Source organism: Homo sapiens, chromosome 11 (genome assembly GCF_000001405.40).
Source record: "Homo sapiens chromosome 11, GRCh38.p14 Primary Assembly".
Classification (NCBI taxonomy): Eukaryota; Metazoa; Chordata; class Mammalia; order Primates; family Hominidae; genus Homo; species Homo sapiens.
The window spans coordinates 133,745,074-133,761,181 of NC_000011.10; the positions used below are offsets into that span (position 1 = coordinate 133,745,074).

At 41.9% G+C, this 16,108-nt stretch overlaps 1 annotated feature.

Annotated features, from left to right (window-relative positions):
* Positions 1,244–2,212: an enhancer, noted in NCBI's record as "H3K4me1 hESC enhancer chr11:133616212-133617180 (GRCh37/hg19 assembly coordinates)". NCBI's record gives its function as "activates a minimal SCP1, AML or CMV promoter by ChIP-STARR-seq in naive H9 embryonic stem cells {active_cell/tissue: H9 hESC(naive)}" and the evidence as "EXISTENCE:reporter gene assay evidence [ECO:0000049][PMID:30033119]".

Consider the following 16,108-nt stretch of genomic DNA (forward strand, 5'->3'; position numbering starts at 1 on the left):
AGATGTGTGAATCAGGCAGGAAAATCACAATCAACCTGCACAAAATGAGGAGTCCAGGGCAGGAGCAGGCAAGAATACAATTGCCCTAGCATCTCCATTTTGGTTCACACTTTTTACACTTTAATTGTTAAAGTCCCTAACCAAATGAATAGCCAAGATTTTTTGAGTCTTGAATACCCTGGTTCTCCTAAATCAATGGGTGAGATCGGATAGGTTCAGCCAGTGCAAGAAATAAAGTATGGAAGATGTGAGATAAAGCCAGTGGGAAAGGGGTAGAGGACCCTTCAGAGACAGGAGGAGACCCACACTGGCTGAAGACGTTCTCTATTCCAGACAGCAGTGGAAGACACTTTATAGACGTTATCCTAGTCATTCCCCATGAGAACACCTGAAGGTGGGATTCACAGAAGAGAAAACGGAGGTTTGGAATAGCTAAGTGACCAAACAAGATAATACTTGCAGCAAAACGAACATTTGACTCCAGGTGTCTCTGATTCAAAAACTTGTATTATTTCCCCCACATCACACAAGAAGAAAAGCACCAAGAGCTATAACTTCAAACCATATCCATGACAAACAAGCCACTTCATCTCACTGTCTCCCATGATAAGGTTCAAATTGGAGAAAGCCTTAAAATACAGTACTCCTGGGTTGCTACTCCATGTCAATCTTTTTGCTATTTTATAGTTAAAAATTTGAATGGGCAAAGAGTTGGGGGAGATCTCTCTTACTCTCCCTGTCCCTTCCCCCTCCTTTTCTCTCCTCCCCATGGTAGTGAAGTCACTCCTTTTTTGCCAACTCATTTCCCCACCCCCACCCCAGCTCTGACAGTCTTTCTTGCCTTCTGATCTTCAGCAATGTATTCATGTATTCACTTAAAAGTTCTGTCTGTGCTGAAGCCGGTGCTGCTTGTAATTGCTGGCGGCCAAAAGCTGTTCTGTTTTTTCTGGCTGAGTGTACCAGGCAATCATCATCTGTAATTATTTCGAGTCTTGTTACAGATGGAACTTCGAGGTTTTCAGTCTTAAACAGAATTCATTATTCAAATGTCTCTAGCACTGACAGTAAGGGGTATGGGGCAAACTTCCCTGTGAGCCCAGACAACTACAGAAGGTTCAGGAGCAGAGGACTGGCCAGGCCATCGAACACCCCAGTGGCTAAATGTAGCTTTTAGCTCCAAATCTAGAAGCCTGGTCCTCAGTGCTCATGCCATCATCTCACACTTGGGACTCTAGTTCCTTCCTGTTACTCTTCAGTTTCTTCTTCTCAACGTTTAGCAGAGATACAAATGTGACCTCACACATCTCCCTTCTCCCCAGGAGACCACACCAGGTGTATCCTTAGCTCATCGACGTATTAGGTTGGTGCAAAAGTAATTGCAGGTTTTGCCATTGAAAGTAACGACAATTACTTTTGCACCAACCTAATAGAATCACAGAGTCTTTCTCAGTCAGAACCCACCTCAGATTAGTAGTGAGTTTCCTGGAAACAGAACTCTGTTGAGAAATAGTAACCTCAAAGCTCTGAGGAAGATAAGCAGTTCTCAGTGACATCAGCTCCCCTGATCCCAGCTTCAGTCCAGCTTTAGAAATTTGCAGGAGCAGGCACCTGCCTCCCAAGGAGCCTCATGAGGAGGCCAGTGAAGTGCCGCCCCAGCCATCCAATCGGCTCCTCCATCTTAGAGGGACAGAGCCTTCCCAAGGGAGAAGCAGCAGGCAGGAAACCTCTGAGCAAGGTTCCACCTCTTAGGACCACCCCCCACACCCCGCGCCGGCCAGAGTTGCAGAGACAGCAGCTGTAGGAACACGCTCTGCAGGAAAAGGTGGGGGCGGCAGTTCTTTATAGACTGGGCCCTTTGTCATAAAAGTAACCCTGCTCCGAGGAGACTCCATCAGCACATCCCTCCACCCCCGTTCCAAAATGGCAGAGAACGGCATGCAGATGGTATCTGCCCATCTCCTGTTCAAGAAGAAAGAACCACGTGCCCAATGTGGGCCGAGAAAGGAAGACGCCCTGTGCACTCAGAGGGAAATGCATCTCTGCTTCTAGAGATAACTGCATCCCAGACGCTTCCGCTTCCTCCGCGGCTCTGGGAATTTCAGACTCATCATCAGTGCAGCTCCTGCCGCACCCCAGGTTCAGTCTCAGCCTTGGCCCTGTAATTCCAAGTGCTGGAGGCAGATTCTTGCTTGTACAGTTAAAGTTCTCCCTCTGTCTCCCCCCCTCCTCCCTTTCTCTCCCTCTCTCTCCCTCTCTCTTTTCTCTCTCATATACACAGACTTTCTCCACCCCCATCCTTCTCACCCAGCCCCCCTTATTCCATCTCTGTCTCCCTCTTTTCCCCTCCTGCCTTTCCCACCCTCTCTGCCTCGCTTCCTTTCTCCCTCCCATTTCTCACTTACTCTCCCTACTCCACACACTCCTTACCCTCCTTCCACACACACGTGTCCACACTCTCCTATCAGCCCCTTCCCTCCCTATCCACGTCATGCAGGGACCTGGGCTGAAGGAGGCCTCAGGGATGGAGCTAGAGCAGCGAGGCAGGCAGGATGGGGCGAAGACAGGAGGAAGCAGCAGCAGGGAGAGGCAAAAACAGATGGCGCAGCAGCTCCGGCTGTACAGACGCGGGCAGCCCCCAGGCCTCTCCCGCTGGGCGACGTCTGCACCAGCCCATCACACGCAGATCCCTGGGTGGCTTCAGTCCACCACAATGCCAAGCCTCCAGTCAACCTGGAGGTGTCAGTGATGGCCCTACTGTGTGCACAGCACTCGCTATGTGAGCAAGCAGACAAGAAAGTAATGAGGAGGCCAGACACACTTCCAAGCGACCGCACTGCAACCTGAATGGGGCCTCCAGGATGCCACAGATGGCTGACGGGCAGATTTCATGCTCCATGTGGACCAGCCCTGGAGGACTGTGCTCCCTGTTCTAAGTAGAAGTGAAAGACGGGAAGCAGTGATTTTCTGTGCTTCTCTATTTATCAGATGATACTGTGTAGATGGTAAGTAGGGAATATTTGATAGTAGAAGCCACCTATGAAAATAGCTGTTGTCATCAGAAGGGAAATGAACAAATGATTTGTCAGAAGGCAAATGATTTATTAACCTTCTGTGTGTCAAGCACCATGCTCAGAACATAATACATATGATCTATTTAATCTTTGTAAAAATCATGTTATATAAATATCTCCAATTTTACTGCTGAAGAAACTGAGTCTGAAAGGTATGTAACTTGCTGCTAAGAAGCAGAGGAGAGCTTGACTTTAAGTCTTGCTGAGGTCAAAATCTAGGCACTAGATGAGCTGTGGCTCAAGCTGCGTGCTCACTCGCCCCTGCGCCCAGCACTTAACATATCTCCCAGCAAGGGAGCTGGACAGTGCAGCTAGATCCCTGCTCACAAAAGCTGTAGAATTACATTGGGATGATAAGGATACACCTGAAATAATCAAACACCTATATGTGAAAATATATGATCAAATCCCAACGTGAACAATATGTATCCCAGAGATCAGAGGGTTCCGTGGCCTGGAATGACTGACCAGGTATCTTTAGTTCATGTGAGCTGCTCCAAAAAAATATGATAAACTGGGTAGTAGTTCACAAACCACAGACATTTATATCACAGTTCTGGAGGCTGGGAAGTCCAAAATCAAGTTGCCAGCAGATTCAGCACCTGATGAGGGCGAGATTCCTGGTTCATAGACAGCACCTTCTTGACACATCCTCACATGGTAGAAGAGGCTAGCAGCTCTCTGGGATTCCTTTTGTTAGGGCACTAAATCCATTCATGAGGGCTCTGCCCCACATGACCTCATCACCTCCCAACGGCCCCACCTCCTAACATTGGTGATTAGACTTCAACATAGAAATTTTGGGTGATTAGATTTCAACATAGGAATTTCAGGAGGATACACACATGCAGACCACAGCACTAGGCTTCTTGATGGAAGGGCATTCGCTGAGCCCTGAGTGTGGAGAGGTGGAATCCACAGCAACAAAGGCCAGGGCAGGGAAGGCAGCAGCACAAGCCCAGGCTGGCTGGGAACAGCACTGTGTGCTGTGGGGAGAGGGAGCCCCACCTAGCTAGAGAAGACGGGGAACATACCCAGCAAGTGGGAGACGCCATGCCGCAGACATCAGGGAAGACCCTCCTGCAAAGCCACACCAGCGACAGACTGAACTCACCTGGTGAGCAACAAGGGACCACTTCTAGGTAGAGGAGCCCGTAAGACAGTCAACTTCTTTTCAAGAAGACTAAACAGGCAGTGGTAGGAGAGTAGCAGAATAGAGAACAGCAAGGAGACCGTTGCAATAATCCAGGTATGAATTGAAAGCTGGAGGTAAGGTGGTAGAGGCAGAAACAATAAGAATGTAACAGATATGAAACATGTTAAAAAACAATAGGACTTGAGGACCTCAGGTGATGAAGGAGCGAGAGAAGAAGGTTGGGAAAATAGGACTTGGGAAGTAGGATAAACACAGGGAGTCGCTGAGGGTCAGAGAGGATAAAGCTGGTAAGCGGGAGGTGAGCTGTGAACCCGGACACTGAATTGCCAAGCATTTGTTGAACACTTCATTGGACACAAAGGACAGTACTTGGCACCTAGTTGGGAAGATAAAATATATACATATGAAAACAACTGGAACACAAACTACATATGGAACAGATGAACAAATGGAAAATGCCGTGGTGTAAATGCTATATAAAAATACCAGAATTGCGTTTGTAAAGGGAGGAAAGTAAGGTTCAGCAACTTTTCCTGCATTTAAGAATAAAAGAATCAATTGGAAAAAATTTGAACACTGTTCTTTTCTTCTCTCATTCTTTCTCTTAATCCCTCCCTCTTCTCCCTCTCCTCCCCCCTGCCTCTGCCTCATGAATTTTCATGCTCACACTACCAGGAAATCAGACAGCAGGCTTCAATGACCTTTGAGGGTCTCCACATCTTTCTTTTCTTACCACACCCAATTTTCACATAATTTGTTTTTATTTAGTGGGTGGTAGTTCTGAGTTGGGGTTTGCAAACAGATGTTTCTCCCTTCTGAGGCTTGAGAGGCTTCAGGGGTGCAGGCCGGACAGGGAAAAGGGTAGACATGGATAATAGTGAATATCACTAAAGCAATTTGGGTCTGTGAGCTTTTCCACTATCTTTCCTTGAGAATCTTGAGAAGTCAAAGCAGCACATTCCCAGCTGGGCAGTGGGAGGCCCTCATGCCTGCCTTTGGGGAGGGAGCTGGCCCAGGAGAGGTGTCCAGGGAAAGGCCAAGATCAGTCCAAGTTCAGACGAGCAGTCACAGGGAAGAATTGAAGACCAGAGGCAGGAAGGCTTTTTTTTTTCTTTTTCTTTTTCCTTTTTTTTTTTTCCCCACCATTAATTAGAAGTACTTTTTTTTCTACTTTTCACTTCTTTTATTTTCTACTTTTTTTTTTTTTGTAGAGTTTTTTGGTGGTTTTGTTGTTGGTGGTGGTGGGTTTTTTTGCTTGTTTGTCTGTTTTTGGTATGTTGCCCTAGCTGGTCTCAAACTTCTAGGCTCAAGAAATCCTCCCGCCTCAGCCTCCTAAAGTGCTGGGATTACAGGCGTGAGCCACTGCATTCAGCCTAAGGGAGGCTTGAAAGCTGAATTACACAATGTTCGGGAAATCAGAGCTGGCAATACTAGAGAGCCCACAGAGGCAATATCACAGGCATCAGGGAGCTTTATCCAGTAAGATCAAGGCCCTACACTTAGACTGGAAACCGGAACAGAGTTCCAGCTCAGCTCCAGGGAGGAGAGTGGCAGGAAGGTGTAGGGCCACACTCCTAAGAAGGGCCAAGGGAATGATAAAAATCATTTCCACAGTGCATTCAGCACTTCCCTCTGGACAATGCCAGGCTCTTTATCGTGGCAACTAACCTTAAATGACAGCAATCACAATAGTGCAATGAAGGAGCAGCAATATCCTCACATTGCAAAGGAGGAAACAGACTCATAGCAACTGATGTCTTGCCTAGGTGCAAAGTTGAGACTCCCATCTGGGAAAGAGAGAAGGGCCAGAGAGAAAACTACAAGAGCTAGAAAAAGACCTTGCTCCTAGAAGTGGAGGTAACACACAAAGTCCAGACAAAGACCCAGATGGCTCCATGTCAAACCACAAGCACCTTATCAGCAGGCCTGAGCATCTCTCCAGCCTAGATCAGGATTAGATTTGGCTCTTGGAGATAGCTGCGCCTGCACATGGGGACCAAACTCACCTCGCTGGGAATGAAGGGAAGAACCTGGTGGCTGGGAAACAAGCTGGGCTTGACTTCACTTGCCTAAGATTTTGGAGCTACTTCAAAGCTACTGGGCTTCCAGTGAAACACAAAAAGTAAAACATATTGTCCCTTCCAGCAATATGGCCTTAGAATCCAATGGTCCATAGTTTGACCTAGAATACAAGAAAAGATCCCTCTGAATCTAGGGGTGGCTCTAGTTAGCTCTAGAGGAGTGAAGAGAGGAGGAATTTCTTTATTCAGTGTGACTTCTGGAGAAAAACTCAATGGCCAGCCACAGCTAAAGGATCCTGGAGGCAATTGTACAACTATGGTGGCTCCAAGCCAGTTTGTAGTACAAGAGATGAGGCAGGATCTCCCAGGGAGAATATAGATATTTTATATCCTTATTACTTTCCATCTGTAGGTATCACTGAATTCTCTGGGCCCCTTCCATCTCTGGTATTTTTTGAGCCATGAAATGTGTAAGATGATTCTGCCAACATATTAGCAAACGATTCCCACTAAAAAGTATTTATTAAACTCCCTACTAAGTGGCCTTCACTATGCTAGTGAGTGAGCAACTAGGCAATTGAGTTAGTGACAAAATGCTCCAGAACCAAAGAGGAGCTGTGACTTTCTCTGTACACAGGACTCTGACACCCGAGCCATATCCTTAGCATTTCTGCAATTCAGAGGTAAGTAAACTACACGTGCACCTTCTTTCCTCATGTAGTTCAAGAAAACCAATTGGTTCTACCAGAATCTTTGCCACTTAGTAACACTGACTTTGTCTTATATATGTTTATTTTAAAAAAATTGTTAGAGCCCTGAAGAAATGCAATTAAAATATTATACTTATTTGTGTTGGCTTATTTGTTTCCATCAGCCTCTATTAAAAATCTATATATGCAAATTTGAAGAAGTTTCAGCATTCTCATGAGCCTGCTGCCTCCAACTAGGTCCAACATATTTGCTTTATGGAAATGTGTCAGTTGGCTTCCTTTAAAAATTATTGTTATTTGATTTTAAAGGGCTTTTTCCCCACTTCTCTCTCAAATTGGCAAAATAATTAATTAGTTGCAGAGCGTTTTTGTCTTTGTGTGTTTTCCTTCCTTTCTAGACCAGATTGGGAAATCAGTATGGAAGAGTGTGACAGAATCAGAAATGCAAAGAAGTTGCCATTCTCCTATGAGTCGCTGTCGGATATTTTGAGATCCCTAGGCCTGGCTAAAGGGGCGAGGCCCAGCTTTTCATACTATCTGGAGTTAATTTTCAGTCATTTTTCCAAAATCATCAAAGCACTTCTTTGCTCTAGAAATATCCCTAGAAGACAGACGGAGAGTCTGTACTGCAAACTAGAAACTAGGGGGCAGACGGCACAGCCTGCACTCCGGGTCTTGCCAGGGGCCACATTCCTAAACAGGGGCTTGGAGAACTGCTGTGCACCCCACTCACTGGCGGCAAGTGCTGCCCCTGCTCAGCAACAAACAATAGAGTGGTTCTACGTCTCTGCCTGAAGCTTTCTGTCTGCCTCTCCCCTGATATTGGATAGCCTTCTTTAGTTAAAAACAACAAACCAAACAACGAAACAAACTTAAGAGGAAGAAATGTATTTATAGGACGAACACTGGCAATCCTCACAAAACTACTGAAAGCCATCAACATCTAAGCCTCAGGAAGGCCAGGATGAATCACGGCATTTCTCAGATGTGGGCCTGGGCAGCTCAACTCTGACCTTCTTTGTCACCTCATCGTCCCTTCAGTCTAAGACAGATTGTTTCAGGCTGGCCTGGCTTGGGTTACATACAGGTTTATCCCTATACTCAGCAAGACAGGGTTCTCCGATCGGCAGCCCCACCAAAAGCCCAAGGAATGGGGAAGGGTCGGCTCCCAAAGGAGGTGTTGGTTCATGCTGTTACCACAGGGAAGAGGAATAGGAAATGGGTCAGGTATCCAGTATGCCTGTGTTCCAGCAGACGCGGATGCCCTGGCGTCTTGCCTGAAGATCACAGCATGAGGGAGAAGCCTGGGTTCCCGCCTGTCCCCTGAGACCTTCCTCATCAGGTGCCGTCCTCCACACCTGCTAGTGCGGCCCTGAGAGTTGGATTCAACAAGCCTCCCTCCCAGGGAGACAATAATCTCCCAGAATTCCCTCATCACTGAATGGCCTATCAGACAGAGAGGGGAATGAGGCAGAGAGAAACGAAACAAGCCAGCTCTCCATCCATTCAGATTCTCTATGTCTCACTTTCCCAAACGCCACCTCATTTTTGTCGGCTGCTAGTCCCGCCAGGTCTTCATTATTTCCTAATTGTCCACATAGCTTTGTTTTCTTGCTGGGAACTGATTTGCCAAGTGTGCTGGGAGTCCCAGGCAGTGGAGAGTCAGCATTAATTCATCCTCTCATTTATTAGTGGGTCAATTTTTCTCCCTCAAATCTCTTTTTTCCTTAATATAATTTGCAACTGCAAAAAGACTGCCTGAGCCTCCCCACAGGCAGCTTTTCTAGCACTGTGGGGTGAAGCCTTTCTTCTGTTGTGATCTTGATCTTTCCCTCCCAGCTTTCACTGAGGAAGTACATTCTGTGACTCGGCTGTCCTGCATGTTTCCAAAAAGACGTGTTCTTTTGCCTGGAGATCTTGCCGTAAGTCATCTTTTATGAGGCAAAGCTGAAGGGATCTTATCCCTGAATTATTTGTTCTTCAAAAGGAATAGTAATCTTTTGCACTTGCAAAGACAAAAAAAGTCCCTCAGAAGACCTCTGCTTTGCCCCCACATAAAACTTCACTCTTCCTGAAGTTTCTCAGTAGTTTTCCCCAGTTTCCAACTCTTGCTTTAGAGTGTCGAGCCACAGAGTAGCAGCTCGAGACAACTGGATTCTATGGTTCCCACCAGGGTCCAGGGCTCTCTCCTGATCTGCCCAACAATTTTTATTCAGTTCTCGCATAAAGGTACACAAAAGTGTGGTTATTTAAATTGTAAATGACCTACAGGTGAGAGACGCAGGAGAAACACTAGATGTTAGAACTGGTGACTGACTAGCTCAAATTTCCAACAAAACCTAATCATATAAAATGTAATTGATAGAAAGGGGAAGTACTTCACATGAGTCCAAAAAAAAATAGAAAAGAAAAAAAGAGGCCCACTGTATAAGAGACAGGTGGCTTTGAAGCAGCTCATGGGAGGAAGACTGAGACATTGGTACATGATAAAAAGGCTGTGAGTAAACGGGCTTGCTCAGCCATCCATTGCTGTGTAATAAGCCACCCCTGATGCCAGCAGCATTTTTTTTTTTTTTTTCAGAAATTAACAAGCAGATTGTAAATTTTTTTTTTTTTTTTTTGAGACAGAGTCTCACTCTGTTGCCCAGGCTGGAGTGCAGTGGCACAATCTTGGCTCACTGCAACCTCCGCCTCCTGGGTTTAAGTGATTCTCCTGCCTCAGCCTCCTGAGTAGCTGGGACTACAGGCATGCACCATCACACCCAGCTAATTTTTTTGTGTGTTTTTAGCAGAGATGGGGATTTGCCATTTTTGTCCAGGCTGGTCTTGAACTCCTGACCTCAAGTGATCTGCCCACCTCGGCCTCCCAAGTGCTGGGATTACTGGTGTGAGCCACCACGCCTGGCCCAGATTGTAAAACTTATATTTATATGGAAATACAAAATCCAAAACAAGATGTCTCTTTAAATGACAAACTTGGAGTACTCATGCTTCTGGGTTTCAAAACTTATGGTAAAGCCACAGTTATGAAGGCAGCATGGTACTGGGATGGGGAAAATAATATAGATCAGTGGGACAAAATTGAGAGTCCAAAAATAAATCCTTGTGCTTGCAGTCTACTGATTTTGACAAAGGTGCCAAGGCAATTCACTGGGGAAAGAATAGTCTGTTTAATAAATGGTCCTGGGACAACTGAATATGCACAAAAATGAACTCACACCCTTGCACCATATACAAACAGAACTCAACAGATTGCTCCACGTCACATGAATGGGGATGTCCTTTTCCATAGGCTCCAATGGAGTAGAATTAAAACCAACAGATGGAAACCATGGGATAAAAAAGATTGAGAGACAAGGCAAGGAAGAACTTCCTCATCAAATAAGGAGGTGTTAAAATCTTCATACATCAGAAAATTTGAGAACGGGCAGAAGTACCCTTTGGCAGTGATATAACCAAAAGTAATAAAGCGTCCCATTCAGAACTCACTAAGTGTGTTGCTGAAAGCTCTTATATATTTGCTGCTTTTGGCCCATTGGACCTATCAATTGTGAACAATGGTATGTAGAAATCTCCCACTATGAAAGTGGATTTATCGATTTCTTGCTGTAGCTCTATCAATTTTTATGTCATAGATTTTGAAGAACTTTTATTAAATGGATACACATCCTTTTAATAAACTGAACACTTTTTTACCAGGTAATGATCCTCTTCATCCTTAGAAATGCCTTAAAGTCTTAAATCCTCTCATTTTCAACCTTTGCATGTTACCTTATATACAGGCAACTTCCATTTAGGTTCAACAATTTGTTCCTGACTATCAGGCATCCTACACAAAAACAAAAATCAGAAGCACAATCTGCATTATTTTGTTTTTTCAATAATATACTACACATCAACCAAAACTAGCTGATCTATTTCCTAAAATATAAATATGCACAATAAAATGCCTATATGCCAGTAACAAACTTGTTAGATTAAAAAATATTTAAAACATCCCTTCTCAATCATCAAAACTCAACATGGTTATTAACAAAACGTTTCCTCATTCGCAGTAATATCTCCCCTCCATTTGATCATTTTTCTTATTCATTTTGCTTCCTATTCCACGATTTCCTTCAACATTTTCTCAACTTTCCTGGGGACTTATCTTGCAACACTAAGCTAAATATGAAATACACTGGAGAAACATGTTCACTTGAAGCGTACAATGGCAGAGAATTACTCAGCTAAGTCTAACTCTGAGATGCCTTTCAGCAACATCCAAAATGAATGTTCTTCTTGCTACCACTTGTCAAGATTTTCAAAATCCCTACACATGACTCCACCAATTGTATTAAGAAAAAAACTTCTTATTTTTATTAAAATCATTTTACAAGGAATTTAGTTGAATTTGATGGGTATAAATATAAAATTTCTCCATAAAATATTGAATGAAAAATGTTGTGCTAGGAGGTATGTATGTTATATAAAGTTTGGCTAATAAGAGAACTCTCCACCAGAAATATTCGAACTGGTGAAAAAAATCTGCAACTATACCTGTATGTGGATGTTTCCTGCTCCAATCTATCAATATTTGTTTTATAAATGATGAGTTTAGTCTATTCACATTTATTGTTATATTTATATATTTGAACCTATTTCCACCACATAATTTACTTTTTTGGCTTATTCCACATTTTTCTGAATTTATCCATCTATTCTTACTTTTCTAAAAATATTATTTTCCTCTAACCAAATAGAACTTACATTCTTTGATATTCTCTCGACACCCATCATATTTCTATTACTCAACATATTTAATTCTACATCACCATGAATAAATTTCTCCTTTTTTAAAGACAATACACTTCGGTATTTTATTACCTTTGCTTTTTTTACACTGATAAAATATTCTGGATTATTCTCTTTAGTATTTAAATATTTTATCCGAAACTATTTTCAATAAGTGTCTCTCTGTGACAAACATCTGAGAATATTTTTATTATGTCCTCATATTTTAGTAGCAATTTGTCTGAATATAACTAGAATAAAAATTCAAACACTTTAAAAATATATTATTTCACACTTCTATTTTCCTATCAAAGAGATAGTGATCAGGAAAGAATGACTACCCCACTTCACAACAACAACAAATAAAGAGAAACGATCAGGTTTGTGATTTGGACCAACTGGAGTGCTGAGCTCACAGAGAAACCAACAGGTCCTAAATCTAAGGAGAGACGTGCCTACAGGAGAGATATGAGGCATAAACTAGTTTATCTTAACAAGAGGCATTCGGACAGTAGTAAGGAGAATTCAGCTAGAGGAATTGGCAAGTTGATGGAGGATAAGAGGGCACTGGTGATAGATCATTAAGCCTGTAGATGGTGCAAGAACTGGGGGAGTCCACACTCAAGTCTCTTACAAACCCTACTGGGCACACACAGAAAAGATTGAGAGACTCCTGAGAGCCTCCCTTATTCTCTTCCCCCTTTCTGGAACAAAAGCCTTAACTGGTGGGGCCACAAATATTGTCACCCTCAGGGCACTGGTGAAGACCCATTGTAACTGGAGAAAGGTAACAGGAAAAAAACATTCCTCCACCCCTAGCTGAAGAGAACCACATTGGGGAAGAGATCCAGCATGAAAAAGGCCAGTCCTTGAGGCCCAGGGACACAGTGCCTGCCAAAGATGGAAGCTCAATCAGAACAAAAGAGTGTCTCCCTCATTGCCATGGCTAGGCTAGCAAGCATGGAATAAAACTTGCAGGAGACACAGCTTCTCTTCAGTGCAAGGCACAGTGAAGACCTTAGGCTCGAGGGTGAAGCATGCATTGAAAATACTCTCATGGAAAACCAGCCTCTACCCTAAACACACGACATTGCTAGGGAAATATGAAGTCCATAACTCACTAAGCATAGCCCTAACAAAAACCTCAAATCCAGCCCAACTCCTAGTTATATTTATTCAAACAACCATTCTAAAGGCTTAGCAGAAAGAAAAATATCTCTCTTTTTCAGGCAAGAAAAATATTTACCTCAATGTCTAATGTCTTTCACAAGATGTCTGTCTTTCAACAAAAAATTACAACACATGCAAAGAGGCAAGAAAAAACAACACACTGCCCTCTCCTGAAGAAAAAATAACCATCAGAACCAGACTCTGGTATGACACATATGTGGGGACTATGCAACAGTGAATTTTAAATAAGTATAAGGACTTTAAAGAAAAAGGCAAACCAGGTGCAAGACTTAGTGGATAATATCAGCAGAGAAATAAAGCTATTAAAAAAACAAAATGAAAATGCTGGAAATGAAAAATGTAGTAACAGACATGAAAAATGCATTTAGCTGGCTTATCAACAATGTCAACAAGCTAAAGAAGCAAGGAAGTTGAGGATCTCAAAAATTACTCAAACTGAAGCACATAGACAAAATACAAAGAGAAAAACAGAACAGGAAATCCAAGAGTTGTGAAACAAATCAAATGGCCTAATAAACAGGCAATTGTAATGGCAGAAGGAAAAGAAAGCAATAATGGGGCAGTTGAAATATATGAAGAAATAATCATCAAGGATTTTCCAAGATTAATGACAGATGCCAAACCACCAATCTAAGAAACTCAGAGAATACCAAGCAGAATAAATGCCAAGACAAACAAGGAAACAAACAAAAAGTACATCTATTCATAGAGTAGTCAAATGGTGAAAGCAAAAGACAAAGAGAAAATATTGAAGGCAGCCAGAGAAAAAAAGACTCATTATATAGAAGAATAAAGATAAAAATTATATCACATTTTCCTTAAGATATTATGAAAGGTAGAAAACAATGGAGTAACATTTTCAAAGTGCTGAAAGAAATAAAAATTGTCAACCAAATGAAAATGTCTTTCAAAAATAAAAGGGAAATACTTTGCCTGACAAACAAAAACAGGAAATTCACCACCAGCAGATCTACATTGCAGGAGATATTAAAGGATGTTTTTCAATCAAAAAGAATATAACGCAGGACAGAAACTTGGATCTACACAAAGAAATAAAAGGTCAAGAAATGGAATATGTAAAAGTAAAATACTATTAAGAGAACTTAAATTTTTCCATTTTTATTTATTCTAAAAGATAACCAATGGTCTAAAGCAAAAATAGTAGCAATGTATTGAATGTTTATACCATGTGCTATATAGCATAAAAATGGGAAGAAGAAACCAGGAATACATGACTGTAAGGTTTTTAGTCTACACATGAAGTAGTATAATTTTATTTAAGGGTACACTCTGGTTATACCCCATAAGTATACAGGAAAAGTGGGAAAAAATGAAAAATAGATGGAACACATAGAAAAATACTAACAAGGTAGTAAAATTAAGGGCAAATATATCAATAATCATGTTACATGTGAATAGTACAATGGTATAACATATCAGTTAAAAGACAGACATTACCAGCTTGGATTACAGAAAGAGAGTGGGGTAGCACTAAACAATATGCTATCTGCAAGAACCCACAGCACATATAAAGACAAAGATAGATTAAAAATTAAAAGTATGAGATTTCTGCTTCAGGGAAGATGAAGTAAATATACTTTCCCCATTCCTCCAGCTAAGCACAGTCATCCCTCAGTGTCTGCGGAAGATTGACTCCATGATCCCAGAGATATCAAAGTTCTTGTATACTCAAGTCTCTTATACAAAATGGTATAATATTTGCATATAATATACTCACATACTTTAAGTTATCTCTAGGTTACTTATAATACCTGATACATTGTAAATGCTGTGTAAATAGTTGTTAACTGTATTTTTATTTTTACTAATTTATATTGTGTTGTTAATTTTTTTCTAATTTTTTTAGCTGTGGTTGTCTGAATCTATGGATGTGGAACCTGTGGATATGGGGAGCTGACTGTATAATTAAATATCCTGGAGTTATATACAAAGCAAACAGAAGAAAACTGAAAGGTGTAAAGAGAAGAAGGAAGACCTTTAGATACCTTATGTCCTAAAGAATAACACAATGATGAGTTCCCAGTGTATTCCTTTTGTCTCATACAGGCATACTTCATTTTATTGTGCTACACTTTCTGAAACTTTCTAGATATTGTTTTTTTTTTAACTGAGGGTTTATGGCAACAGTGCCTTAAGCAAGTCCATTTTTCCAACAGCATGTGCTCATTTCATGTTTCTGTGCCACATTTTGGTAATTCTCACAATAACTCAAACTTTTATTACTACTATTATTATTATTATTATTATTATTATTTTAATAATAATTCAAAGCAAAGCTCTAACTCTTCAATTCTTTGTAGGCCGAGAGAGGTGAGGAAGCTGCAGAAGAAAAGTTAGAAGGTAGCACATGTTGGTACATGAGGGTTAAGGAAAGGTGCTGTCTCTCTCTCCATAGCACAAAAGTGCAAGGTGAAGCAACAAGTGCTGACATAGAAGCTACAGCAAGTTATCCAGAAGATCTAGCTAAGACAAGTTATGAAGGTGGCTACACTAAACAACAGATTTTCAGTGGAGGTAAAACAACTTTATATTAGAAAAAGATGCCAACTAGAAATTTTATAGCTAGAGAGGAAAAGTCCATGCCTGGCTTCTAAGCTTCAAAGGACAGGCTGACTCTCTTGTTAGGGGCTAATGAGGCTGGTGACTTCAAGTTGAAGCCAATTCTCAATTACCATTCTGAAAATCCTAAATTTACTCTGTCTGTGCTCTACAAATGGAACAACAAAGCATGGATGATAACATTTTTGTTTAAAGCATGGTTTGCTGAATAATTTAAGCCCACAGTTGAGACCTACTGCTCAGGAAAAAAAAAAAAAATTCCTTCCAAGATATTTCTGCTTACTGACAATGCACCTAGTCACCTAAGAGCTCTGATGGAGATGTACAAGGAGATTAATACTGCTTTCATGTCTGCTAACACAACATCCATTTTACAGTCCATGGATCAAAGAGTAATTTCAACTTATAAGTCTTATTATTTAAGAAATATATTTTATTGGACATGGCGGTGCATGCCTGTAGTCCCAGCTATTCGAGAGGCTAAGGCAGGAGAATCACCTGAACCCAGGCAGCAGATGTTGCAGTGAGCCGAGATCACACCACTGCACTCCAGCCTGGTGACAGAGTGAGATTCTGCCTCAAAATATATATGTATATATTTTGTAA